Below are 27,531 nucleotides of genomic sequence, written 5' to 3'. Positions count from 1 at the left end.
TAGATGTGGGCTCCTAAAATCATTCTAGAATAGATGATTAAACAGATGGCTCATGAGCCTGTGGAAAAGAACACAGTGATCATTGGAACTGAGAATGAATTCACAAATAACGCACTGTGCGGAACTAATATTTTTTGACAGGATCGTTGAATTAATCAGAATACTGTGAAAACAGTATGGCCTGATTTCAGCAAGAATGGGCAACATGGGAAGGAGGAATGAGGGTTCGATGGGAATTGAAGTAATGCACCTATTGATCTGAAAGAGGATTCCAAATGGAGTGCCAGCTCTATCCTGTGAACTGTGTTTAGCCAAGACTTAAAGACAGAGAAAACAGGTCCAAGGTTGACTCAAAGCTGAGAGGAATCACCAACGTGACACTGGAAATATTTCAATAGACCAGACCACAGGCCTAGCCCAACAGGCATAAGATCAAGTTCTTCTGGTTCTTCACTGGTGGAGGACAGTGGTTACATGGAGTAAACCTGGGGGTTCAGTGACCTGCAGACGCAGGCTTAGTGGGAGCCAGAGACGTGATGCAGCCACAGGAATGGGGACTGTTCACACTGTGCTGACTTTGAGCCTCCTCTTCCTTTAACCCTTACGACCATGCTCCAAGTGGCAAGCACTTCCTTCTTCGGACAGATGAGGGAACAGAAGCATAGAAGGCTGAATAATTGAATAAACTGTCCTGAGGCCATGCAGCAGGTCAATAGCAAGGCCAGGATTCGACCCCAAGTCTGTGCAACCCCATGGCCTGTCGAGACCACAACACCACTGTCCACATCGTGGGCCTTCATCACACCACACTGGCAGAGCTGCATCCTGTTCTCTAGGGTCGCTTGACAGTCATATCACATAAGAAACTGCTGAAGAACTAGAACAAATCAGCCTGGAGAAGACAAGAAGTGGGGCATGATAGGACCTAAACGCATTATCATGACTTACAAGACCTCTGCGGTCCAGGCCCTGCTCACTTACGAAGTCTTGTTTACGTCCCTCTTCCTCTACGTGCTCCCTCTCTCCCCAAGTCCAGTCCTACCGACCTGCCAGCAGACGTCGAAACTCCCCTCCTCTCACACCTGTGGCAGCTCCGCCGGTTGTTTCACACTCCTCTATACCCTCCTGTCACCTGGCCAACTCTTCCTACTGAACTCTGCTCCCTTGGGAGGCCACCTTTTCAGACCCCGGCCTGGGTCCAAGCCCGTCTCTCTGCTGCAGGGGACTGTCAGCTGCGGCATCTTCAACAGACCACCCCTAATGTGTTTCCTGCTCAGTGATGGAGCCTCTAACTCATCCACCCTCAGGGAACATTCAAAAACAAGTTATTTTTAAGGCCCCTACAAATATTAAGCATATTATCAAAACTAACATAGTAATTTAGATTTAACAAACCTAAAATACCATCACTAATAGATACTTTCCTAATGGAAATTTAAGGTTTTGTTTCCTAGAACCTCTAAAAATTTAATACGTTGGTGTCTGTACCCTAGGAGAGAATGAAAACATCATCTGCAGAAGACAGACTCACCTCAAAACAGGGAAACAGGGCTTTCCCTCTTCTTTTTTTCTTTCTTTTTTTTTTTTTTTTTTTTTTTTTTTTTTTGACAGTCTTGCTCTGTCGCCCATGCTGCAGCGCAGTGGCGTGATCTCGGCTCACTGCAAGCTCCACCTCCCGGGTCCACCCCATTCTCCTGCCTCAGCCTCCCGAGTAGCTGGGACTAAGGCACCCGCCACCACGCCCGGCTAATTTTTTGTATTTTTAGTAGAGACGGGGTTTCACTGTGTTAGCCAGGATGGTCTTGATCTACTGACCTCGTGATCCACCCGCCTCGGCCTCCCAAAGTGCTGGGATTACAGGCGTGAGCCACCGCGCCCGGCCTCCCTCTTCTTTTCTGATGCAGCCAGTGGGTGGCTTTACTTTTGATATTATTCCATGTCTTCTGAGATGAGGGTGTTTAACTCTATTTTTAAAGGACCTGAATCAATAACGAACAACAAATTAAGAATTCTTAAAGTGCCTGGCTGAAAAACGGCAGAAAATCTGACAAACCAGAGATAGAAAAGATTGCCTCTCTGGCTTTGGAGTTACTCAAATGTTACCATATCAAAGGAAATAGGGTGTTTGCGGAACTATTTGTTCCTTATGATCAAATCAATGAAATGCCAAATTGTCCATATATATGCCAGCTGGCACCCATCTGAGCCAGGACACTGCTTGGTAGAGAAAATGCCCTCCCTGGGACCACTAACCATGAGGTGCTGCTATGGACATCCAGCCCCCAAAGATGCCTTTATTTGGTCTATGTTTTGTGTAGCCACAAGAGCTTGGTCTCCTGTAAAGTAAACCACCAAAGGCAAGATTAAATGGGTCCTGCTATGCAGTGTTATCGGCACAGCACTCTGTTTAAAGTCCTGGGTCTGTGATCTGCCAAGGCTTCTCAGAAAAGCCATACATGGTACGATTCTCCTCTCCCATCCTCATTCAAATGATGTTTTAATGGACAATAAGCAGTATGCTTTATAAATAAGCAGAAAGAAGGAGGCAGAGATGTTGGGAGAGATGTAAAGACTGAGAGATTTATTCTCCACAAGAATGCCACCCAAAATCTAATTTTAGCCATTAGTTTCAAAGCAACTAGGAAAGGACCTTCAGGAGTGTAGGTGGGGGTGGAAATTAACCACCTTTTTGAGGCAGCTGCAGATATTATGGGGTTTCTTCTTGAGCTTTCATTTTTCTCTATAATCTGGCCCTGTGGTTAGATCTGACCCTCTTAGGCCAGACTTCGGTGTATTCACTGCTATTTCTCTGATCCCAGGAGTTGAAAGTGATTTTCAGGATGATGGAAAAGTTCTCTTCAATCCAAAATGTTTACAAAAGTAGTAAATGCTTTCTTTTACCATGTTCCTGCATACTGTGAGGAAGATGTTTTAATTAATCAAAGATCCCCCCTCACACATATAGGCTCAGAATTTCTGCTCAAACACCAAAAGCTCCCAACATCACCTTCCACTTTTGAATCATGTTGTTAGAATGCCAGAATCTACGTTGATGCAACTTACACCCATTGCTCCTATTTTTGTTCCTGACCCAGCTTCTCTTCCACATCTTTCAAACATTTAGAGTTCCCCTCCCAGATGAAACAGCCCCAGCTCCTTCAGCTCTTCCTTTACGGTTTCAGACCCTTCAGCAACTTGACCACATGGTGCTCACTCTCTGGTATGTCTCTGTCCCTTTAGAATGGGAGCCAGGAACTGGGCTGTGACCAACAAAGGCCTTTAGCATTTTACCACCATCCAAATGTCATGATCCTTAGGTCGTATCTCTATGCAATCCTCGTTACCCCTTACTACAAGGACAGGCTGCAACTGTTCAATAAGCATTAATTGGTGGCAATAAAATGCTGTGGTGGAGAAACATGACAGTTATCCAGCAAGCCAAACCCTACAACTGAGTTTATCGACATGTAGGTTCAAGTAGCTTTAAAGTGAATTTGAATTCACTCTGTAAAACCCTGCTTAGATAACTCAAACAGCAGAGCTTCTGGGACCTCACTGCCCACACAGCTTAGGGAGCTGGCCAGGGTCTGCATCTGGGATGTAATGACTTCAAATCTAGAGGTTTAAACCATTGTGAATTACACTGGACCATCTGAATTGGTTTAGAACAAAGCAGTCTGGCAGACCCTTTTCCAACTCTATATTCCAAGAGATGTGTTTTGAGCTTTTTTGTTTTCCACATTTTCTGATTTATTATCATTTGAAGTAGATGACTGGGTCAGACTAGATGGATTCAGAAGTTATTATAGAGGTCACAGAAGACAGAGTTTCAGCATTATAAAAATCACAATTAAGGATGTCTCTTCTATATACAAAAATATTTTCCAGAGAGCATATATGCGAGCGTTATTAGATATATAAATAAAGCTATTAAATCATATGTCAAAAAATGACTACTCTGAGTGTGCCACCAGTAGACTGAAATTTAACTGAGAAATTACTTTGGCAGAATGTGATTCTTTCTTCCCAGAGTGCTGGGTGTGGTGACTTGGATACATGGACAACCATGTAGCTACTGGATAAAGGGTATCTGCACCACCCGCCATGCTGAGGCCTTCCTCCACCTCCCAAAGCTGGATACACCAGATGTGGCTCCACACTTGGTCTCAGAACAGTGTGGCCATTCTGAAACTGGACTATCTTCTGACCCACACTCCCTTTTCCTGACATCTCACTTCCAAGTACCATGTCATCAATTGTAAACTGGCTAGACAGGCTCCCACCTGGACTCAGGAGCCTGTGTGGGCCAGTTAGAGAAGGCCCTCTTGCGAGAGACTTATGTGAAAAGAAGTGTAGATACGCATAGAGAGAGGTCAGACGCATTGCATTTCTATGGACATCATCGTTATGCAGAAACAGAGCAGAATTTGTTTGATAATAAAGTGGTTTGTTGAGATTTAGGATTTTATTATTATTTATTTTTAGAAAAAAGAGAAAATTTACAAGATGCAAAGGTCTCACACAATACATTATCATTGATGATTGCTCTCTTGACACTTCAACACGGGCCCTGGCAATAAAAAGAACATGGACAGTGTGAGTGTATTGGAGAACCCCCGCCATGGACACGCAGAATACACCACAGTGGACTTGATGACAAATGATGCTGGGCCAGCCTGTTCCAAAAGCAAGCCAAGATGTGGTAGAAACCAACAAAGCCTTTCTGTGGGGGAGGCACGAGCGCACACCTTCTACCACATGCGCACCCGCCCCCTGGCCCACCGGCAGTGCCCACTGCATCACTCCACCACAGCAACAACAGAAAACGATAAAACGGTCCTTTGGTGTTTTTTGCAGAGCTATTCAGGTTCCCAAATTCTTATTTCTGTCTTCCTCTTCATGTTTCAGTTCCAAATTCTTAAAGTAGTGTAGGTGCTTAGCATCTTGAATTTTTCAGGATCCAGTTCTGCCCAATGATAACACACTAAAAAGACCAAAGAAGACACGTTATTAAGAAGGATTCCAATGTTTGCCTTCAGATTCTATTAGCATAGGCATATAAGAGTAACTAAGCAGCTGAAGATATGTTTTCAAGCTCATACAGTGACACCAGCATCAGTGCATCACTTCACTGAAAAACCTGCCATGTTGCCATGTACAAACCCAAATACCTTCTCCTCAAAGAGTCTCCAGTTCATTAAAACTCCATTCTTAGAGCAAAAGACACCAAGGCAAATATCTGAACACACTTCTAAATGGCTTTTGCATCAAAGAGAAGTCACCAGGCAAAATAGAAAATACTTTGAAGTAAATGAAAACACAACATATCATAATTTGTTATATTCACCTAAGGCAGGGCTTAGAGGGAAATTCACAGCATTAAATGCTTATATTACAAAAGAAAAAGGTTATCAAATCAATAATCTGGGTTTCTACCTTAAGAAATTGAAGAATAAAAGCAAAGTAAATCCAAAACAAGCAGAGAAGGAAGAGAATAATAAGGAGCAGAAACTGATGACATTTCAAACAGAAAAAGGCAAGAGAGAAAAAATAAAAATAAAAAGATCAATAAAATAGATAAGTCTCTGGTCAGACTTACCCAGAAAAGAGAGAAGACACAAATTATCAATATCAGGAATCAAAGAGGCAACATCAGTACAGACATTACAGACATTAAAAAGATAAAAGGAATATATCACAAGCAACTTTCGACTCACAAATTAGACAACATAGATGAAATGAACAAATTCCTAGAAAAGAGATATAAAAGCATGATTTCCAAATCATTTTAACAATGAGGGAGGTAGAGGGATGGGAGCTTAAGGAAATGCAGGGACAGGGAGGGAATAAACTAAATGCTTAGTCTTGCGACATTTTAAATACTACTCAAAGGATGCCTGGCTGTTTGGTACAGAAGTCCAAGTGTCTCAGGGTTTCCTTTTGTAATTCCGAGGCTATAACAAAAACCAGCTAGTATTGCCGAGATCTATGATGCATGCATTTGTCATCCAAAAGTTAAACTAAAGCTAAAGCCTAACAGAAGAGTTTCTATTCCCTCAGATCTAGATTCTAATTGGATGGACTTCAGTAAAAGCAAAAGATTTCAATACGACTCAATATGCCATGGCAGTGCCACCTCCATGGATGTGCTTCCTGATACACTCAGTGCAGGCCACCTTCTTAAGAAAGGGTTGTATCACAAGCAGATGCTTCCATAGACTAACAGCCCTCATTCCCCTGCCCAGCTGGATAGCGAAGTCCCTGTGCACACATGAGAAAGGCAAGCTGGAACCACAGCTAGCCCATGCTCTGCAGCTCTGTCTGCCACCATATCCCCAAGGGCTACCCTCGTACACCCAAACCCACCTGTAAGAGTCCTGCACACCTTCCTAAGAGTTTTCTAAAAGACAACCAGTGGGTGGAGAACAGACAACATCATTCCTGGGGACCATATTACTTTCAGTTTTTAGCTATTAGAAACAACCCATTTGTTCTTACATTGTGTGGATGATGTTAACCCAAGTTACGGACCTGGGGACTATTCATACTTGTTTCCCTACCTTCAATACCAATAACTGAAATACTGTAATTGTTCCCCACATTGACCTTTGAGAAACTCCATCTTCTTGGCACAGATTAAAATCTTTGTTTTTGAACTTAAGATGAGCTTTGGAATCCTGGTTGAACGTATTTTTCTTTTACATTTACTTCAATTAAATATTCTACAATATTCTACATTTTTAATGCATTGGGATAATTTAGTCTTCAAATATTTGATGTGCAGATGGAAATTATAAAGCTCACAGTAAAAGAATGACCTAGAGAAATGTTAAAGATATTCTGTTAAAAGATAAAAAACAGGTGACACTATATATATACAGTATGTCTCCAACTTTGTAAAGTTAGAGAAACAGATGTAGAATTACCTGTTTAGAAAAAGTATTCCAAAGCATTATGTTAATAATAATTATCAGAGGTGGAGCCAAGATGGCCAAATAGGAACAGCTCCAGTCTACACCTCCCAGTGTGAGCCACGCAGAAGACGAATGATTTCTGCATTTCCAACTCAGGTACAGGGTTCATCTCACTGGGGATTGCTGGACAGTGGATGCAGGACAGTAGCTGCAGCACACCGAGCAGGGCGAGGCATCGCCTCGCCCGGGAAGCGCAAGGGGCCAGGGAATTCCCTTTCCTAGCCAAGGAAAGGGGTGATAGACAGCACCTGGAAAATCGGGTCACTCCCACCCTAATAATGCGCTTTTGCAATGGTCTTAGCAAACGGCACACCAGGAGATTATATCCCGCGCATGGCTCTGAGGGTCCTACGCCCACAGAGCCTCGCTCATTGCTAGCACAGCAGTCTGAGATCAAATTGCAAGGTGGCAGCAAGGCTGGGGGAGGGGCGCCCACCATTGCCGAGGCTTGAGTAGGCAAACAAAGCGGCCGGGAAGCTCGAACTGGGTGGAGCCCACCGCAGCTCAAGGAGGCCTGCCTGCCTCTGTAGACTCCACCTCTGGGGACAGGGCACAGACAAACAAAAGGCAGCAGAAACCTCTGCAGACTTAAATGTCCCTGTCTGACAGCTTTGAAGAGAGTAGTGGTTCTCCCAGCATGCAGCTTGAGATCTGAGAACAGACAGACTGCCTCCTCAAGTGGGTCCCTGACCCCTGAGTAGCCTAACTGGGAGGCACCGCACTGTAGGGGCAGACTAACACCTCACACGGCCGGGTACTCCTCTGAGACAAAACTTCCAGAGGAACGATCAGGCAGCAACATTTGCTGTTCACCAATATCCACTGTTCTGCAGCCTCCACTGCTGATAGCCAGGCAAACAGGGTCTGGAGTGGACCTCCAGCAAACTCCAACAGACCTGCAGCTGAGGGTCCTGACTATTAGAAGGAAAACAAACAAACAGAAAGGACATCCACACCAAAACCCTATCTGTACGTCACCATCATCAAAGACCAAAGGTAGATAAAACCATAAAGATGAGGAAAACACAGAGTAGAAAAACTTAAAATTCTAAAAATCAGAGCACCTCTCCTCCTCCAAAAGAATGCAGCTCCTCACCAGCAATGGAACAAAGCTGGACAGAGAATGACTTTGACGAGTTGAGAGAAGAAGGCTTCAGATGATCAAACCACTCCGAGCTAAAGGAGGAAGTTCGAACCCATGGCAAAGAAGATAAAAACCTTGAAAAAAGATTAGACGAATGGCTAACTAGAATAACCAATGCAGAGAAGTCCTTAAAGGACCTGATGGAGCTGAAAACCACGACACGAGAACTATGTGACGAACGCATAAGCCTCAATAGCCAATTCGATCAACTGGAAGAAAGGGTATCAGTGATGGAAGATCAAATGAATGAAATGAAGCGAGAAGAGAAGTTTAGAGAAAAAAGAATAAAAAGAAACGAACAAAACCTCCAAGAAATATGGGACTATGTGAAAAGACCAAATCTACATCTGATTGGTGTACCTGAAAGTGACGGGGAGAATGGAACCAAGTTGGAAAACATGCTGCAGGATATTATCCAGGAGAACTTCCCCAATCTAGCAAGGCAGGCCAACATTCACATTCAGGAAATACAGAGAACGCCACAAAGATACTGCTCGAGAAGAGCAACTCCAAGACGCATAATTGTCAGATTCACCAAAGTTGAAATGAAGGAAAAAATGTTAAGGGCAGCCAGAGAGAAAGGTTGGGTTACCCACAAAGGGAAGCCCATCAGACTAACAGCGGATCTCTCGGCAGAAACTCTACAAGCTAGAAGAGAGTGGGGGCCAATATTCAACATTCTTAAAGAAAAGAATTTTCAACTCAGAATTTCATATCCAGCCAAACTAAGCTTCCTAAGTGAAGGAGAAATAAAATACTTTACAGACAAGCAAATGCTGAGAGATTGGTCACCACCAGGCCTGCCCTAAAAGAGCTCCTGAAGGAAGCACTAAACATGGAAAGGAACAAAGGTACCAGCCACTGCAAAAACATGCCAAATTGTAAAGACCATCGAGGCTAGGAAGAAACTGCATCAACTAACGAGCAAAATAACCAGCTAACATCATAATGACAGGATCAAATTCACACATAACAATATTAACGTTAAATGTGAATGGGCTAAATGCTCCAATTCAAAGACACAGACTGGCAAATCGGATAAAGAGTCAAGACCCATCAGTGTGCTGTATTCAGGAAACCCATCTCACGTGCAGAGACACACATATGCTCAAAATAAAAGGATGGAGGAAGATCTACCAAGCAAATGAAAAAACAAAAAAAGGCAGGGGTTGCAATCCTAGTCTCTGATAAAACACACTTTAAACCAACAAAGATCAAAAGAGACGAAGAAGGCCATTACATAATGGTAAAGAGATCATTTCAACAAGAAGAGCTAACTATCCTAAATATATATGCACCCAATACAGAAGCACCCAGATTCATAAAGCCACACAATAATAATGGGAGACTTTAACACCCCACTGTCAACGTTAGACAGATCAACGAGACAGAAAGTCAACAAGGATATACAGGAATTGAACTCAGCTCTGCACCAAGTGGACCTAATAGACATCTACAGAACTCTCCACCCCAAATCAACAGGATATACGTTCTTTTCAGCACCACACCACACCTATTCCAAAATTGACCACATAGTTGGAAGTAAAGCACTCCTCAGCAAATGTAAAAGAACAAATTACAACAAACTGTCTCTCAGACCACAGTGCAATCAAACTAGAACTCAGGATTCAGAAACTCACTCAAAACCGCTCAACTACATGGAAACTGAACAACCTGCTCCTGAATGACTGCTGGGTACACAAGGAAATGAAGGCAGAAGTAAAGATGTTCTTTGAAACCAACGAGAACAAAGACACAACATACCAGAATCTCTGGGACACATTCAAAGCAGTGTGTAGAGGGAAATTTATACCACTAAATGCCCACAAGACAAAGCAGGAAAGATCCAAAATTGACACCCTAACATCACAATTAAAAGAACTAGAAAAGCAAGAGCAAACACATTCAAAAGCTAGCAGAAGGCAAGAAATAACTAAGATCAGAGCAGAACTGAAGGAAATAGAGACACAAAAAACCCTTCAAAAAATCAATGAATCCAGGAGCTGGTTTTTTGAAAAGATCAACAAAATTGATAGACCGCTAGCAAGACTAATAAAGAAGAAAAAAGAGAAGAATCAAATAGATGCAATAAAAAATGATAAAGGGGATATCACCACAGATGCCACAGAAATACAAACTACCATCAGAGAATACTATAAACACCTCCATGCAAATAAACTAGAAAATCTAGAAGAAATGGATAAATTCCTCGACACATACACCCTCCCAAGACTAAACCAGGAGGAAGTTGAATCTCTGAATAGACCAATAACAGGCTCTGAAATTGAGGCAATAATTAATAGCTTACCAACCAAAAAAAGTCCAGGACCAGATGGATTCACAGCTGAATCCTACCAGAGGTACAAGGAGGAGCTGGTACCATTCCTTCTGAAACTATTCCAATCAATAGAAAAAGAGGGAATCCTCCCTAACTCATTTTATGAGGCCAGCATCATCCTGATACCAAAGTCTGGCAGAGACACAACCAAAAAAGAGAATTTTAGACCAATATCCCTGATGAACATCGATGCAAAAATCCTCAATAAAATACTGGCAAACCAAATCCAGCAGCACATCAAAAACTTATCCACCACGATCAAGTGGGCTTCATCCCTGGGACGCAAGGCTGGTTCAACAAATGCAAATCAGTAAACATAATCCAGCATATAAACAGAACCAACGACAAAAACCACATGATTATCTCAATAGATGCAGAACAGGCCTTTGACAAAATTCAACAGCACTTCATGCTAAAAACGCTCAATAAATTAGGTATTGATGGGACATATCTCAAAATAATAAGAGCTATCTATGACAAACCCACAGCTAATATCATACTGAATGGGCAAAAACTGGAAGCACTCCCTTTGAAAACTCACACAAGACAGGGATGCCCTCTCTCACCACTCCTATTCAACATAGTGTTGAAAGTTCTGGCCAGGGCAATCAGGCAAGAGAAGGAAATAAAGGGTATTCAATTAGGAAAACAGGAAGTCAAATTGTCCCTGTTTGCAGATGACATGAATTGTATATCTAGAAAACCCCATCATGTCAGCCCAAAATCTCCTTAAGCTGATAAGCAACTTCAGCAAAGTCTCAGGATACAAAATCAATGTGCAAAAATCACAAGCATTCTTATACACCAATAACAGACAAACAGAGAGCCAAATCATGAGTGAACTCCCATTCACAATTGCTTCAAAGAGAATAAAATACCTAGGAATCCAACTTACAAGGGATGTGAAGGACCTCTTCAAGGAGAACTACAAACCACTGCTCAATGAAATAAAAGAGGATAAAAACAAATGGAAGAACATTCCATGCTCATGGGTAGGAAGAATCAATATTGTGAAAATGGCCATACTGCCCAAGGTTATTTATAGATGCAATGCCATCCCCATCAAGCTACCAATGACTTTCTTCACAGAATTGGAAAAAACTACTTTAAAGTTCATATGGAACCAAAAAAGAGCCCGCATTGCCAAGTCAATCCTAAGCCAAAAGAACAAAGCTGGAGGCATCACACTACCTGACTTCAAACTATACTACAAGGCTACAGTAACCAAAACAGCATGGTACTGGTACCAAAACAGAGATATAGACCAATGGAACAGAGCAGAGTCCTCAGAAATAATTCCACACATCTACAACTATCTGATCTTTGACAAAACTGACAAAAACAAGAAATGGGGAAAGGATTTCCTATTTAATAAATGGTGCTGGGAAAACTGGCTAGCCATATGTAGAAAGCTGAAACTGGATCCCTTCCTTATACCTTATACAAAATTAATTCAAGATGGATTAAAGACTTAAATGTTAGCCATAAAACCATAAAAACCCTAGAAGAAAACCTAGGCAATACAATTCAGGACATAGGCATGGGCAAGGACTTCATGTCTAAAACACCAAAAGCAATGGCAACAAAAGCCAAAATTGACAAATGGGATCTAATTAAACTAAAGAGCTTCTGCACAGCAAAAGAAACTACCATCAGAGTGAACAGGCAACCTACAAAGTGGGAGAAAATTTTTGCAGTGTACTCAACTGAGAAACGGCTAATATCCAGAATCTACAATGAACTTAAACAAATTTACAAGAAAAAACAAACAACCCCATCAAAAAGTGGGCGAAGGATATGAACAGACACTTCTCAAAAGAAGACATTTATGCAGCCAAAAGACACATGAAAAAATGCTCATCATCACTGGCCATCAGAGAAATGCAAATCAAAACCACAATGAGATACCATCTCACACCAGTTAGAATGGTGATCATTCAAAAGTCAGGAAACGACAGGGGCTGGAGAGGATGTGGAGAAATAGGAACACTTTTACACTGTTGGTGGGACTGTAAACTAGTTCAACCATTGTGGAAGTCAGTGTGGCGATTCCTCAGGGATCTAGAACTAGAAATACCATTTGACCCAGCCATCCCATTACTGGGTATATACCCAAAGGATTATAAAACATGCTGCTATAAAGACATATGCACACGTATGTTTATTGCGGCACTATTCACAATAGTAAAGACTTGGAACCAACCCAAATGTCCAACAATGATAGACTGGATTAAGAAAATGTGGCACATATACACCATGGAATACTATGCAACCATAAAAAATGATGAGTTCATGTCCTTTGTAGGGACACGGATGAAGCTGGAAACCATCATTCTCAGCAAACTATCGCCAAGGACAAAAAACCAAACACCGCATGTTCTCACTCATAGGTGGGAACTGAACAATGAGAACACATGGACACAGGAAGGGGAACATCACACACTGGGGCCTGTTGTGGGGTCGGGGGAGAGGGGAGGGATAGCATTAGGAGATATACCTAATGTTAAATGACGAGTTAACGGTGCAGCATACCAACATGGCACATGTATACATATGTAACAAACCTGCACGTTGTGCACATGGACCTAAAACTTAAAGTATAATAAAAAAATAATAATAATCATAGAATGATAAGGTGGCAGATGACTTTTATTTTCTTCTTCGGGTATTTTGGCATTTTTGATATTTTCTATGAGTGAGCATTAACTTTGTAATAAAAAAAATGGCTTTCAAAAGAAATGTTATATGAGAAAGATGATTTAGGAATTTCTATTCCCTACTAGAGAAACACAGAACTGGAAGGGATCCTGAGAGGTTTTGGCCAATGGGTTCTTAAAGTTTTTAGGTAAACTTCCTAGGCATAAGAACTTTATAAAGCATCTAACCTGAAGGACAATCCATTAGGTATGCCTTTAGAATTAACTGTGCTACTACTGGGAACACTAATGGGCTGGCCTAATCATAAGATCAATGTTAGTATCATGAGTGATTTGTAAACTACATGCAAGAGATTTTTGGCCAGCAGTGGACACTGTTCCAGCTGAAAGCCACCGCCCACTACAATACATGGATTGGTCAATAGACGTTGCTCTCTATTTCTAGTCTCACTTGCTAAAGATGTCTCTTCCTATTTTCTTGAACTATAGAATAACCCAGGAGCCAGGTTACTGGCCATCAACTGGGAGTAGCTGGAGACCACGCAGCTCACATAGCTGGAAGCTTGAATGAGGAAGGTGGGAGTGAGCTATCTGTGAGGTCCATCTGCCAAATTAGAAGTGCTGAGCAGAAGTCCTGTTCAAGCTAAACACATGGTTCTCCAGAAAAGGGTGGACCATTGAGGCTTGAAATTCAGAAACCCTGGATAAGGGGTAATGTGCCTCCCTCTAAGAGCTACTGAAGGGATGATGTCTATTTCCAAACGCATGTGCGTCACATGAGCTACTGAGGGCAGACATGACCCAGAGGCTGGGGACACCTGACAGGCAGTAGTAAGAGGTGCCTGATAACTTAGCACCACAATTTCATAGTCTTATGAAAGAAGCTAGGGGAACCACCAGTTTCCTCCACCTGCTGTAGTAGTTCTCTTACTGCCGTCAACCACGAGGGACAGTGAGGAACATCTCCAGTGAGGCCAGACCAGGACCAGAAGAAAGGAAACCCTTCACAGCCCACGTAAACACTGAAACCCTCAAAGACACTGACTTCCAACTGACCTGCTTCTGGCTTCAGGCCATTTAAGCAACCACAGGATGCAAGTGCTAGACAAAACACACACATGCCACAGATCTGTTCTCCACATCACTGTTAAAAGGACCAAGATTTTTTTTTTTTACCTATTTATTTCAGGTCTTAGCTGGTAATCAAATCAGAATTCATTTACCTAGAAAGGTAAGGCTGTTCTATGCAAAAAACATGAGAGATGCTGGGAAGTTATCAATGCAGGCTTCACTCTGACCTTCTAGCACTGTTAGATTCCAGCAAGCTCCCTCCACTGAAGTGTCAAAAGATCCCCAGAATCGGAATCTCTTCCTTTGCTTGAGAGCTGATGGTCCTGACTTCACAGATAGAACATGAAAAGAATGATTTCCTAATTACGAATGGAAAGCTTAATGCAATGCAATAAAACAAGCATGGAGAAAAAATTGATGTTACCTGAAAGTGGTAGGAACAAACCTTGACAGCAATTGGCTTTTATTTTTTGGCTTTAACTTATTCTCCCATCTATTATTTCTCATGTATATTGTACTTATTTATATATCAACGTCTTTTTTTTTTTTTTTGAGACAGAGTTTCGCTTCATTGCCCAGGCTGGAGTGCAGTGGCGCGATCTCAGTTCACTGCAACCTCTGCCTCCTTGGTTCAAGCGATTCTCCTGTCTCAGCCTCCTGAGTAGCTAGGATTACAGGCGTACACTACCACACCTGGCTAATTTTTGTATTTTTTGTAGAGACGGGGTTTCACCATGTTGGGCAGGCTGATCTTGAACTCCTGACCTCAGGTGATCCACCCGCCTCGGCCTCCCAAAATGCTGGGATTACAGGCATAAGCCACCACACCCAGCCAATGTCAATCTTATAGTACTTAAAGTGATTCAGATGACAGTATCAAAATCATAACTTGATCCCTACAGGTTGGTGCTGTTTAGTTGAATTTTCTGCAATGATAGAATAGCAGCCACTAGCTGTATGTAGCTAGTGAGCACTTGAAATATGGCTACTGAGACTGAGAAAGTGAATTTTAAATTTTATTTAATTTTAATTTACATCTCAATAGCCACATGCAGTTAGTAGCTACTGTATTAGATGGCACACTCTAAATTATTTGTAAGCCTGGCTCTGCACCTTAGCAATAGATGGAATCACTAATCATGGCCAGTTATTTTCTAATCAATAAGGTAATGGCCAATTTATTTTCTAATAAATAAGGTAATGGAGGTGGAAGCCTGGGCATAGAGAAAATCCAGTCCCACTACTAGTAAAGTAATATAACATGCTACTCTGCATCAGTGAGGAAGCAAACCAACCTCATGGATAATAAAAAACCAGAATGACACTTAAGGTTTGGGAACAGTAACCTCCAGGTAAGAAGAAGAATGGGGCAGACAAAAATATTTGAATAGATATTACTTAAAATGTCCCAAATGTACTGAAAGCCATACAGTTACAGATTCAAGGTCAGCGGACCCAAAAAGATCCCCAGAATCAGACTGGGACTATGATACAGATGTTGGAATTATCAGACAGGGAACTTTTTAAAACTATGATTAATATGTTAAGGGCTCTAATGAAAAAGTAAACAATATGCAAGAACAGATAGGTAATGTAAGCAGAGAGACGGAAACTCCAAGAAAGAAACAAAAGGAAATAATAGAAATCAGAAACACTGTAACAGAAATGAAGGATGCCTCTGATGGGCTCATGAATAAACTGGACACAGCCAAGGAAGAATCAGTGAGCTCAAAGATAGGTCATTACAAACTTTCCCAACCAAAAACAAAGAGAAAAAGAATGAGAAAAAAAGAACAGACTATCCAAGACTGTAGAGCAATTGCAAAAGATGTACCATATATATAATTGGAATACCAAAAGGAGAAGAGAGAACAGAGAGGAAATTGTGAATGAAGCTAGGGGTATTGAAGTATTAATGGCCAAGAGCTTTCCAAACTTAATAACAGACATCAAATCACAGATCCAAGAAGCTCAGAAAATACCAAGCAAGAACCACACCTAGGCACGTCATATCCAAACTGCGGAAAACCAAAGACAAAATTTTGAAGAAGCTGGGGGCTGGGGGTGGGGTAAGGAGAACCCACCTTACCTATAGAGCAATAAGAATGAGAATTACAGGGGACTTCTCATAAGAAACTGCAAACAAGGAGAGAGAGGAATAAAAATTTAAGTATTGAAAATATTTAAATATTTCTTTTTCTCTCATGCCTTGGAAACTCAAAGCTGCTCCTCTAGGGCTGTGAGGCTCCTAGGGCTCTTTGTGTTTTTAAAGAAAGGCAAATTAAAACAACAACAACAACAACAACAAAAAAAAAAAACTACAAGTCTAGAAGTCTATACCAGCAAAATTATCCTTCAAAAACAAAGGCCGGCCATGGTGGCTCACTCCTGTAATCCCAGCACTTTGGGAGGCTGAGGTGTGTGGATCACTTGCGGCCAGCAGTTCAAAAGCAACCTGGCCAACATGTTAAAACCCTATCTCTACAAAAAATACAAAAAATTAGCCAGGCATGTTGGTGCATGCCTTTAATCTCAGCTACTAGGGAGGCTGAGGCACAAGAATCGCTTGAACCTGGGAGGTGGAGGATGCAGTGAGCAGGGATTGCACCACTGCACTCCAGCCTGGGTGACAGAGTGAATGAGACTCCACCTCAAAAAAAAAAAAAGACTATTTAAGTTAATGATAGTGACAATGTATTAGGTGAGTATCACATATGTAAAGTGAAATGAATGATAGCAATGTCACTGGGAATATGCTGTTGTTATAAGGTGCCTGTTACAGGTAAAGTGGTAGAGTGTCATTCAAGGTGGACTTAGACTAGTTAAAAATGTATATTGTAAACTCCAGGGCAACCACTAAAAAAATTGTTTTAAGTTAAAAAAAGATAAAAACACTACCCAGAGACACAGCTAGTTTTATACCATGAAATACCAGCACATGGACATGAGAATGTGGTACAAATGTTGATACAGGGAAGCAAAGTGAAGCTCAGAGAATGAAAGGAGTCCTACCTTGTATGGCGAAAAGAACAGTGAAAAGGGACTGAATACCTTTTCAACAGAAAACACACACCCACACACACACACACACACACGGCTGCTGTAGCTCATTAGGAAGAAGTGTGCTCAGCCAGGACACATCTTACTATTCAGACAAAGGTCACATTGAAAAAGCAAACAGATGGCAGCTTCCAAAACACTTTCTTGTTTGGTTTCAAGTGTGTTGCCATTTGAGGACAGAAATGTGGGGTGCCAGTCAGGAGCACACTCCTCTCACACCCTAATTACAGCAGCTAAGTCAATACTCAAATGAGGTAATACTTGACCCTGCAATCAAATCAGAAACCACATCATTTTAGTGAGAGGTGGCCCTAGTGCCTTTAGCAGTGGCCAGAAAGGAGAAATAATAGAGCTGCATCCTCACAGAAAACCTCAACTCCTCCCAGCAAGGTGAGAGAGCCCGAAGGATTGAGACAGAGGACAAAAACACAGTTAATTTTAGCAGTTTCATGTCCACTTGGTAAAATAAGAAGCAACATTTGCAATGTGACAGAGAAATGTCAAGGCCCTGGAAATGTCCTCTGAACCATGAAGGCTTTTGAATCATTTTCAAAGAAAAATATGCCCAAGATCATGCAGTTTCTCATTCAATTTTCTTTTGCCTTTTCTTTCTCTCTCGTGCCTTGGAAACTCAAAGCTGCTCCCCTTAGGGCCTGCCAGATTCCCTAGGGCTCTTTCTGTATTTAAAGAAAAGCAAATGAAAAGTGCTACTCCCTTCATAGTGAGGGGGCTGCTGTTGTTCTGGGGAACAAAACAAATGTCAGGGTCACCTTCTGTCTGTCACCATTTAATCCAGCTCTCATAGATATCTGAATATTTGGTGGTGATTTTGTGGCCTACTGGGATGACAAATTTCATCAGAAGGGGGAACAAAACCCACGGGCAACAAAAAACCCCAAATATATCATTGGAATGCCAGCTGTCACTTGGTTCTGGTCCCGTTTAGGATCTTCAAATCCAGGAACATGGCTAAATTCTCGGAAGCAGGAGCACCCAGCCCCGCTCTGGTCCTCGGCTAGTTGTGGGCGGCTCTGAAGGACTCCTCCCTGCCTGGACATCTGTCCATGCCTGACACCGTCACTGCTGACCCTGACGTAAAGAAGAACAACTGGATGCCTATGGTAAACCATCAATAAATGGTTTTCCTTGTGCGCTTTGTCCAAAACCCAGACAGTACCATATACATCGGTATAAACAAAACGTGGCCTCTGTCTTTCATGGGCCGATCTAAACTTGTTCATGAGCCTCCATGCGCTGAGTAGCAATAGGGGCGTTCCTGACCAGACAGAGGCTCCATTTCACCTTAATGTCAACAGTACTCTGGGTCCTCAGTGTCCTCTGTGGCAGGGTGGTTGGTGCAGCTCAGCACCTGGGCCCTGACACTGCACCACTGAGGGACGGTGGGCTACTTGAAGTTTGGTGTCTCTTGCTCAGGGACCCAAGGCCCTCTCTGGCTGACCTGGCCTCGTCTCAGTTCTCACCAGCATATCTCACTCAGTCTCAGGTGTCATTAATGACAGACCCCTGCAAGTCTCATCCAGGAGGCCAGTGGAGGTCACAGCTGAGACCTGGAGGGACTGTCAGTGCTATGAAGAGCTGAGGCCATGACCCCCAACCTCCTAATGAAGCTGCCCCCTCATGGCTTCTGCAGCAGGCTCACCTCACCACTTCTATCCAGGACCGAGAGTCAGCCCACAGACCCAACACAGCTTTCCTCCACACCCTCCACCAGGCAGAGAACACCCTCTGGAGCCTTCCCCACCCCACGGCGATGCTGAGCAGCACTCTCACAGGCCCTGAGGCCTGACCGTGTCTTGCTACCTCACTGGGCTGCAGCTGCCTCCTGGAGCCCTGGAGCCACCTGCACTGCTCTCCCTCCAGAATCCCTGTCACGGCTTCCAAGTTTCCTGCAACCCAACCCCCATTCCCCCACTCCAAGGATCCCAGCCTGGAGCACAGCCAGAACATGCCAGGGGCCTTCAGCTTCCCCTCCATCTGTCCCTCTGCTCCTTCCCGCTGAGTCTCCTAACCTGAAGGCTGAGGCCAGCCAGGAACTTCCCTCCATTGCCCTCTTCCTCCTCTTTTGCCTGCCTCTTCCCAAGGGCCCCATGATGGCATGGCTGCAGTGAACTTGACTTATAGGGAAGGGGAAGGAAAAACACAACTGCCTCCTCCTTTCCAAACACTTCCCGTGGGGTCTGCTCCCCCTGCTGCCTCCCCTCTGTGGCTGGCCCTATTTGGGTGATTCACAATAGCACCACTGACCCCAAGTTCTATGCTACCTAATCTGCACTACCGTGAGAAGGAAATAAATACATTATTAAAATGTCATTAACGTGAGAGAAGCAAGAAGTAGATACCTACGAGTCCATGAGAATTCCCCTCGTAAACTTAGACACTGGGGAAAAATGTGAAATGTTCACACCCTCCTCCTGCCCTTCTTTTTATGTGCTCAGTTCTCCTTCTATGAGCGTGTTCTCCTGTATGTTCTGTGACACATGCAGTAACTGTCCCCTTGTCTGCCCATGAGACCCTCGGGTGTTTTTCTTGCCCACAGAATTAGCAGAATTACTCCCAGGCTACCCAGGGGCCACAGAACACTAACATCCATGGTGTATTCTCTACAGGAATTACTCTGAGGCCAAATCTAAAGCAAATGGAAGTCTTTAAGTTGTTATGTTTTGCATGAATTTTAAAAGTAACAAAACTCAATACCCCGTCATAGATTAAACCAAAGATTTTCAAAGCACTGATCAGATATAAAGCAAAAATCAAGACATTAAATTTATAAAATGTATTAGGTTAATAATACAACCCAGGAAGGAATCAGCTAGGTGGTATTTGAATTTTTTAAGCTGTTTTGAAAATACAAACCTCCAAGGCACATGTGAATTTGTATTTGTGTGTGTGTGTGTGTGTGTGTGTATGCGTGCCAGTGTGTTTAGCTTGATAATCTGGGTCTGGTTGCTGGGAGACAGGGGCTTGTATGTTTCTCCCTCTCCCGTTCATTAAGTTCATGATGGGAGTCTGAACATTCAAGTTGTTTTTTTGTTTTGTTTTGTTCGTTTGTTTGTTTGTTTTTGAGATGGAGTCTCACTCTGTCGCCAGGCTGGAGTGCAGTAGCGCAATCTTGGCTCACTGCAACCTCCACCTCCTGGGTTCAAGAGATTCTCCTGCCTCAGCCTTCTGAGTAGCTGAGACTACAGGTGCGCATCACCATGCCCAGCTAATTTTTTTTTTTTTTGTATTTTTTATAGAGACGGAGTTTCACCATATTGGCCAGATGGTCTCGATCTCTTGACCTCGTGATCCGCCTGCCTGGGCCTCCCAAAGTGCTGGGATTACAGGCGTGAGCCACCATGCCCAGCCCAAGTTGTTTTGAACCTGTTGTTAAGGTCCCAATTCACTGCAGGAAAGACTATTAAGTACAGTCTTCAACAGAACTGGAAGAAGAGACATGGGCCATGCCTGAGCATTAAGGCTGGGAAGCTGCCCTGAACCCCAGGAGTGGAAACTGGAGTGTCCAATCTGAGTTTTGCTTCTGGACCAAGTAATTACTAAAACTTGGCCTAACCAGTAACAGTCCCTGCACCTTTCATTCAAGGAACAGGAGCAGCGCTGGGATGCTCTCTCTGTCATGCTTCCCTGTGATCCAGAGAAGCCTGAGAAAACACAGAAACATGGCGGGGAGGGAACATGCCTGCCCCCGCCCTGCCCAGGCTGCTGGGGCCAGTTCCAGGCACCATGACTTCTACCTGCCTGCCTTCCACAAAGCACTGCTGACGGAGATGAGTTTTCCTCCAATAGAAGAAAAACCATAGAACTTACTCACTGTCACCCAAAAGTTAGCAGGATGGAAAGAAGACCTCGATGAGTTTCTGAATTACTGCTTGACCCATTTAACTAGCACAACTGAAAAAGTATCTTAAAGGGCCACTCTGTGCCCTGTCTTCACTTAGCACATTTCACCTCTTTGGATTAAGGATTTCTGGACAGACTATAAATCAGAAGCACCAGCAATATTTGTGATGCCAAAACTGACCACTAACAAAAGTGAATTATCATGAAGTTTTGGAGGGGTGGGAGTGGAAGTTTTATGTGACGTCCCTTCCCTTCGAGGCACCCTTCAGTGTCCCATGCATACGTGAGATACATAAGCCAAGGCTGGTCACCACAGTGCTGTTGTCTCCCTGCACAACACTAGCAGGAAAACACAGTGATGAGGGAACAGTTAAGAGGACAACAGGACTCACTGTCCAGTCCCCTCCCCTAAAACTGTCTATGAACCAACAATCCACCCTTCCTGAGCTCTCCATTCTGTTCCTCTCGTCTGTGTATCCATTTGGGAGCTGGTGCCACTGTGCCCAATTACAACTAATGTATCTTTTTTAAATTTTATTTTTAAGAGTCAGGGTCTCACTCTGTCACCCAGGCTGGAGTGCAGTGCTGCAATCATGGCTCACTGCAGCCTCCAACTCCCAAACTCAAGCAATCCTCCCACCTCAGCTTTCTGAGTAGCTAGGATGATAGGCAAGCACCACCATGCTCAGCTAATTTTTTTTTTTAAGAGACGGGGGTCTCACCATGTTGCCCAGGCTGGTCTCAAACTCTTGGGTTCGAGTGATTCTCTCACTTCAACCTCCCAAAGTGCTAGGATTACAGGTGTAAGCCACCACACCTGGCCTAATATATCTCACTTCCTGGTATTGTGGATCCTAAAAGCCATTTCATAGGTACACTTCTGACCCTTGCTCTCTTTCAGAAGAGAAAGAGAAGGCTGAAAACCACCTTCTGGATGTTCTTCTATCATAATTTGGTGTCTCTTGGGTGAATTCTGTCTCCTAACTTGGTTTTAACCACAGTCTGTGAGCTGAAGGCTCCAAATTGTATGTCCGAGACCTGGCTCCCCAGCTCTAAAGCCACAGACTCAGCAGACGACTGGCATCACCATTGGCTGCCAACAGGCACCTCAAACACAACACACCCAAAATAGGTACCGTCAGCAACCCCCATCTTCCTCCCTCATCCTTCTGGATGTCTCCTCTTCCAATCTAATCAGTCACCACGTTGAAATGATTCTATTTCCTTTACATCTTTCAATCCCACTCTTTCCCCTCTGTTCCTACTATAATTTTTTCTCTGGACTTCTGCAATCACCTCCTAATGGGCCTATCTGCTTCCAGCCTCACTCCCCAAAGCTGCTCAAGTGAGTGCTCTTTTTAAACTTTGTATCTGATGATGTCACTTGTACACTTAAAACCTTTCAGAGGTCCCTCCCGCCCCAGGATAAAATCCAAATTCCTCAGGGTTGCATACCAGACCCTATACAATCCAGACCTCCTATTTCTCTAAGTTCAGAGATGCTCCCTGCCCTCCCACTCCACTTGGCACTCAACACTCCCACCCTTCTGCAATTCCTCCATTCCCAAACTCTCCTGTCCTTGCCCCCCAACCTCCAGATGGCATTTGCACTGCTCTTCTCTTGGCTCAGGCAGCTCTCCCCTGCCCTTGCCCCTCATCTGCCTCCCCACTGCCACCTGTCCTTCCAGATCTGGTCCCAGGCCTCTGAGGGGCCTCTCCTGACCTCCCATCTCCACCCCACACCTGTTCACACTCCTGCCACACGCACCGTGCTGTAGTATAACTGTTCCTATGCTTCTCCCTGAGCCTGTGACCTCCCCATGACAGGTCCTGGGTCCCTCAAATCTGCACCCAGTATTTGGTCCAGTGCTTGGCAAAATAAACAGGTTCCCTGGTGGGAGGAACTAGGCACAGTGCCATCAGATGGCCGCATCACATTTTCAAGGCCTCTGATGTTCAGGCAGGGAGGTGGACTCCGTGCTACAGTGAGCCACAATAAGAATAAAATGCCATTTTAGGAAAAGTAAACTCACAGTGCCACACGGGGCACTGTGAAGGATTTCAGAACACGGGGCAGGTGGCAATGAAAGTAGGCTGCTGAGATGGCAGTGCCCTTTGCTAGAGTGGCTAAGAGCAGGAAGGGAGATGCAGGAGCGCAAGTGGACTCTGCATCTGCATCTGGATTCTGTATCGGTGAGTGAGTGTTCTGCACAGGCAATCACAGCAGCAGCTGTGGACTGGCACAGGCAGCCAGAGAAGGTGGCACAAACAGGTTCCACCCCCAGGTGGGCACCCCAGGCCTGTGGTATGCCACCCTCCTGCATCTCAATGAATAAAATACAATCTTATTTGCTAACTGATATGGTTTGGCTGTGTCCCCACCCAAATCTCATCTTGAATTGTAGCTCCCATAATTCCCACGTAGGAACACACACGTGGAAATTATGGGAACTACAATTCAAGATGAGGGGCCTGGTGGGAGGTAACTGAATCATGGGGGCAGTTTCCCCCATACTGTTCTCTTGGTAGTGAACAAGTCTCACAAGAGCTGATGGTTTTATAAGGGGAAACCCCTTTCACTTGTTTTTTGTTTTTTTTTTTTGAGATGGAGTCTTGCTCTGTCACCAGGCTGGAGTGCTTGACCCTTATACTCTCTTGCCTGCCGCCATGTAAGAAATGCCTTTTGCCTTCAACCATGATTGTGAGGCCTCCCCAGCCACGTGGAACTGCGAGTCCATTAAACTTCTTTATCTTTATAAATTACTCAGTCTCAGGTATGTCTTTATCAGCAGCGTGAAAACGGACTAACACACTAACTTTTGTCTCCATCCTGGAAGGCAGCAGATTTAAGGAAGCTATGGATGAACGCTGTGAAATGAATGAATTCAGCCTCAGCAGCTATTCCCTCCTATTCATTGCTGCTTCCCCAAAATGTGGGAAGATGAAGCCAAGCAGGGAAACTCCTACCTGAATTCTGCCTCCTGAGCTACGGCTCCCGTTCAGAGGACACGTCGCCCTCAGCCCCGCTGCTGGCACTGCGGTCTTCTTTTCGGGGAGTGTTTCTTTCCTTGCTTGATTCAGAAGGTCCCTTAGCTCTGGTCTTTTCTTTCCTCTGCTGCTGTTTTTCGAGCTTTGACAGCTGATTAAATAAAAATAAAAAAGAATATTTTACAAACACAAACACATGCCTGTGTATCCCACACACCAGTGACTTCCCAGGTGGGAACCATTGAAAAGTTTTTTTCTGATAACCTGGCAGAGCACAGTGGTTCAGATATACCAAATTATACACAGAATGTTTTTCCAACAGGCACCTGAATCACTGAAACAAATCATTAGTCATAGGAGTAATCACTCTCAGACTTTTCCCCAACCATAATTCAACTTGGCACACAGTATGAGGGAGCGGTCATGCCACAGCCTTCTTCAACAGCCTTAGAAGAGCTCCATATATGAAGGCTTTTCATCTCTTACTTTTTTCTTTGATAGTTTTTTTTCTCATCAAGTTACCTTCTACTTGTTGTTTTCTTTTTTCTTTTCTTTTCTTTTTTTTTTTTTTTTTTTTGAGACAGGGTCTCACTCTGTTGCCCAGGCTGAAGTACAGTGGTGCGGTCACAGTTCACTGCAGCCTCAACCTCCTGGGTTCAAGTGATCCTCCCACCTCAACCTCTCAAGTATCTGTGACTACAGGTGCATGCCAATTTTTCTGTAGAAACAGAGTTTCACCATGTTGCCCAAGCTGTTCTTGAACTCCTGGGCTCAAGCAACCCACCCACCTCGGCCTCCCAAAGTGTTGTGATTACAGGTGTGAGCCACCATGCCACACCACGTGTTTTCTAAAGAATGTTCAAAACACATTACTCTTTGCTGAAGATTACAGAGAAGGCTGTGAAACAAAGTGCATTAAGCACACTGAACACCGTCTCAGTTACCAGTTGATTTGAGACTGAAGGCTGACTTGCTTGCAGGCTGCGTGGTGGCAACACTCAGGACACTGGCCACTAGAGCCTTCTTAGGCTCCCACCAGGCCAGCAGGGGACATGCCCCTGATGTCTCACTCGAATGGAACCTGGGCCCACTTCTTCCCTGAATAGTTCTTCAAAGAAAGCATCAGCTAGATGGCTGAAAGAAGCTTCCATCATCTAACACTGAGCAGCAGCCCAGCCACTACAGGAAAGCCTGCTGAGAAACCCAGCAGAGAAGACCGGCCAAGTTTTGAACCACGGAATTTTCTTAGACCAAAAAACACAAGAGACAGCAATACCCAGTTTTATCTCCCTCCCAGACTAAGTCTGTGAACTTTTTCTAGTTTACATAAAAAGAAGGAAACTTATTGAAGGGCTGGCTTCTCCCTGCTGGTCCCTGCCCCACATCCAAGACACAAAGAGGATTCACTTCCCCCAATCTGCCAGATCATTTCTTCCACTATGAACAGACTTTGAGTTAACCCTTCGAGAGATGAACAACCAACCAGTAGCTCTCAATTGGGTCCAGGAAATCAAATTTATTAATAATTGACTTATAGTAGTGGTCCCCAACATTTTTGGCACCAGGGACCGGTTTTATAGAAGACAATTTTTCTGTGAGATGGGGGACAGAAGAGGGGATGGTTTCAGGATGAAACTGTTCCATCTCAGAGCATCAGACATTGGTGAGATTCTCATAAGAAGCCTGCAACCTAGATCCCCCGCATGCACAGTTCACAATGGGGTTCCCGCTCCTATGAGAATCTAAGGCCACTGCTGATCTGACAGGAGGCGGAGCTCAGGTGATAATGCTCGTTCATAGGCTGCTCACCTCCTGCTGTGCAGACTAGTTCCTAACAGGCCACAGGGATTAGTACCGGTCCCTGGCCTGGGGGTTGAGGACCCCTGGCTTATTCTTTCCTACTCCCCATTTACCTGAAAAGCTGTAGAATACAGCTAAGTTTGGTTAATATACTAATTAGATTTTGTGAATGAAGACATCACTTCACCTTTGACTCAGCAACTCTCCTCCGAAAACTCCCCTGGATAAATTTCCACTTGTGTGCACAGTGGGGGCTTCTGAGAACATGGACTGTAGTGTCATTTGTATTTGCAAAAACCTAGAAACAACCCAAATGTCCATCAACATTAGGAGGACAGATACGTGTAATGTGGTCTGGTCCCCTAAAGCAATATTGTACAGTAGATCTACATATATCAAAATAGCCAAGTCTTGGTCAGAGGTGGTGGCTCATGCCTGCAATAGCGGCACTTTAGGAGACCAAGGTGGGCGACTGCTTGGGCTCAGGAGTTTGAGACCAGCCTGGGCAACATAGAGAGACCCTGTCTCTACAAAAAAAAAAAAAAAAAAAAAATACAAAGGTTAGCCAGGCGTGGTGGCACATGCCTGTAGTCCCAGCTACTGGGGAGGCTGAGACGGGAGGATCGCTTGAGCCCAGCAAGCAGAGGTTACAGTAAGTTGAGATCATGTCACTGCACTCCAGCCTGGGTGACAGAGGAAGACTGTCTCAAAAAAAATTTTTTTTAATTAAAAAAAATAGATAAATCTTGAAAATCATGTTATACAAAACAAATTTAGCTTCAGAAGGCTATATACAGTAGGATTCCACTAACACAAAATAATACTCTACATAGCTAGTGAGCTCATGCAAATACAGTATGGCCTGGAAGAATACACGCCAACTTCAATACACTAGTTAACATGGAGGGGAAAGAGGATAATGGGATCTTAGTGGAATGAATATATACAGGCTTCAACTGTAACCATCAACTTTATAAGAACAAAACCAGATCTAGAGCAGAGTTACTAATCAGTGCACTCCACAAAATGCACGTGACACCTGGACCAGCAACAGTAAGATGCTCGTGTCAGAATGTAAATCAGTACATAGCTTCCTTCATCAGCAAAGTATTGTGAGAGATTTCTTCTCAACTGTGAGCTCTGTGGTGTAGCTGACTTCATTCTGGCCCAAAATGAAGGTTGCAGTGAGCCGAGATCACGCCACTGCACTCCAGTCTGGGTGACAGTGAGTGTGCATACACATATACACACATATATAAATACTCATGAACAGGTCCAAGTTAGATGCTGAGAAAGTACAATTTTAGTTTTAAAAAGTAAGATGCCGTCTCAGTTTTGTTCTTTGTTTCGCCATGGCCTGGTAACAAACAGTTCATGCAGCAGCACTTTAAGTAGGAATGAATGATCTGGAGCAAAGATGACAAAAAGCTAGCATTTTTAAAATCTGAGAAATGGCCACACAGAGCTGCTTGTTACATAGTTCTTTGTAGTATTACTTTTCCATGGAAAAATATTTTTCTCTTGACTATTCTGCCACAGGTTAGGAGGAATTTCCTGCATCTAAAATAACAGGCTTCTTTCCTTTCGTCTGTCTTCTGGTATTAAAATGCTCTTTCTTTGATGAAATGATAAGGACAG

General features: G+C 43.7%; 1 protein-coding gene across 1 annotated transcript in view; it reads right to left on the bottom strand.

Annotated features, from left to right (window-relative positions):
* Positions 1 to 1,699: 1,699 nt before the first annotated feature.
* The window catches only part of DTD1 (D-aminoacyl-tRNA deacylase 1), a 178,591-nt gene continuing 152,759 nt past the window's right edge, over positions 1,700 to 27,531 (bottom strand). The window contains exons 5-6 of the mRNA NM_080820.6: positions 24,073 to 24,244; positions 1,700 to 4,984 (exon numbers count right to left, since the gene is read on the bottom strand). Coding sequence (NP_543010.3) covers positions 24,092 to 24,244 — 153 coding nt within the window. The 3' untranslated portion in view covers positions 1,700 to 4,984; positions 24,073 to 24,091. The remainder of the gene's footprint in view (positions 4,985 to 24,072; positions 24,245 to 27,531) is intronic.

Source organism: Homo sapiens, chromosome 20, assembly GCF_000001405.40.
Source record: "Homo sapiens chromosome 20, GRCh38.p14 Primary Assembly".
Taxonomy (NCBI): domain Eukaryota; kingdom Metazoa; phylum Chordata; class Mammalia; order Primates; family Hominidae; genus Homo; species Homo sapiens.
This window is presented reverse-complemented; position numbering and strand designations above follow the sequence as displayed.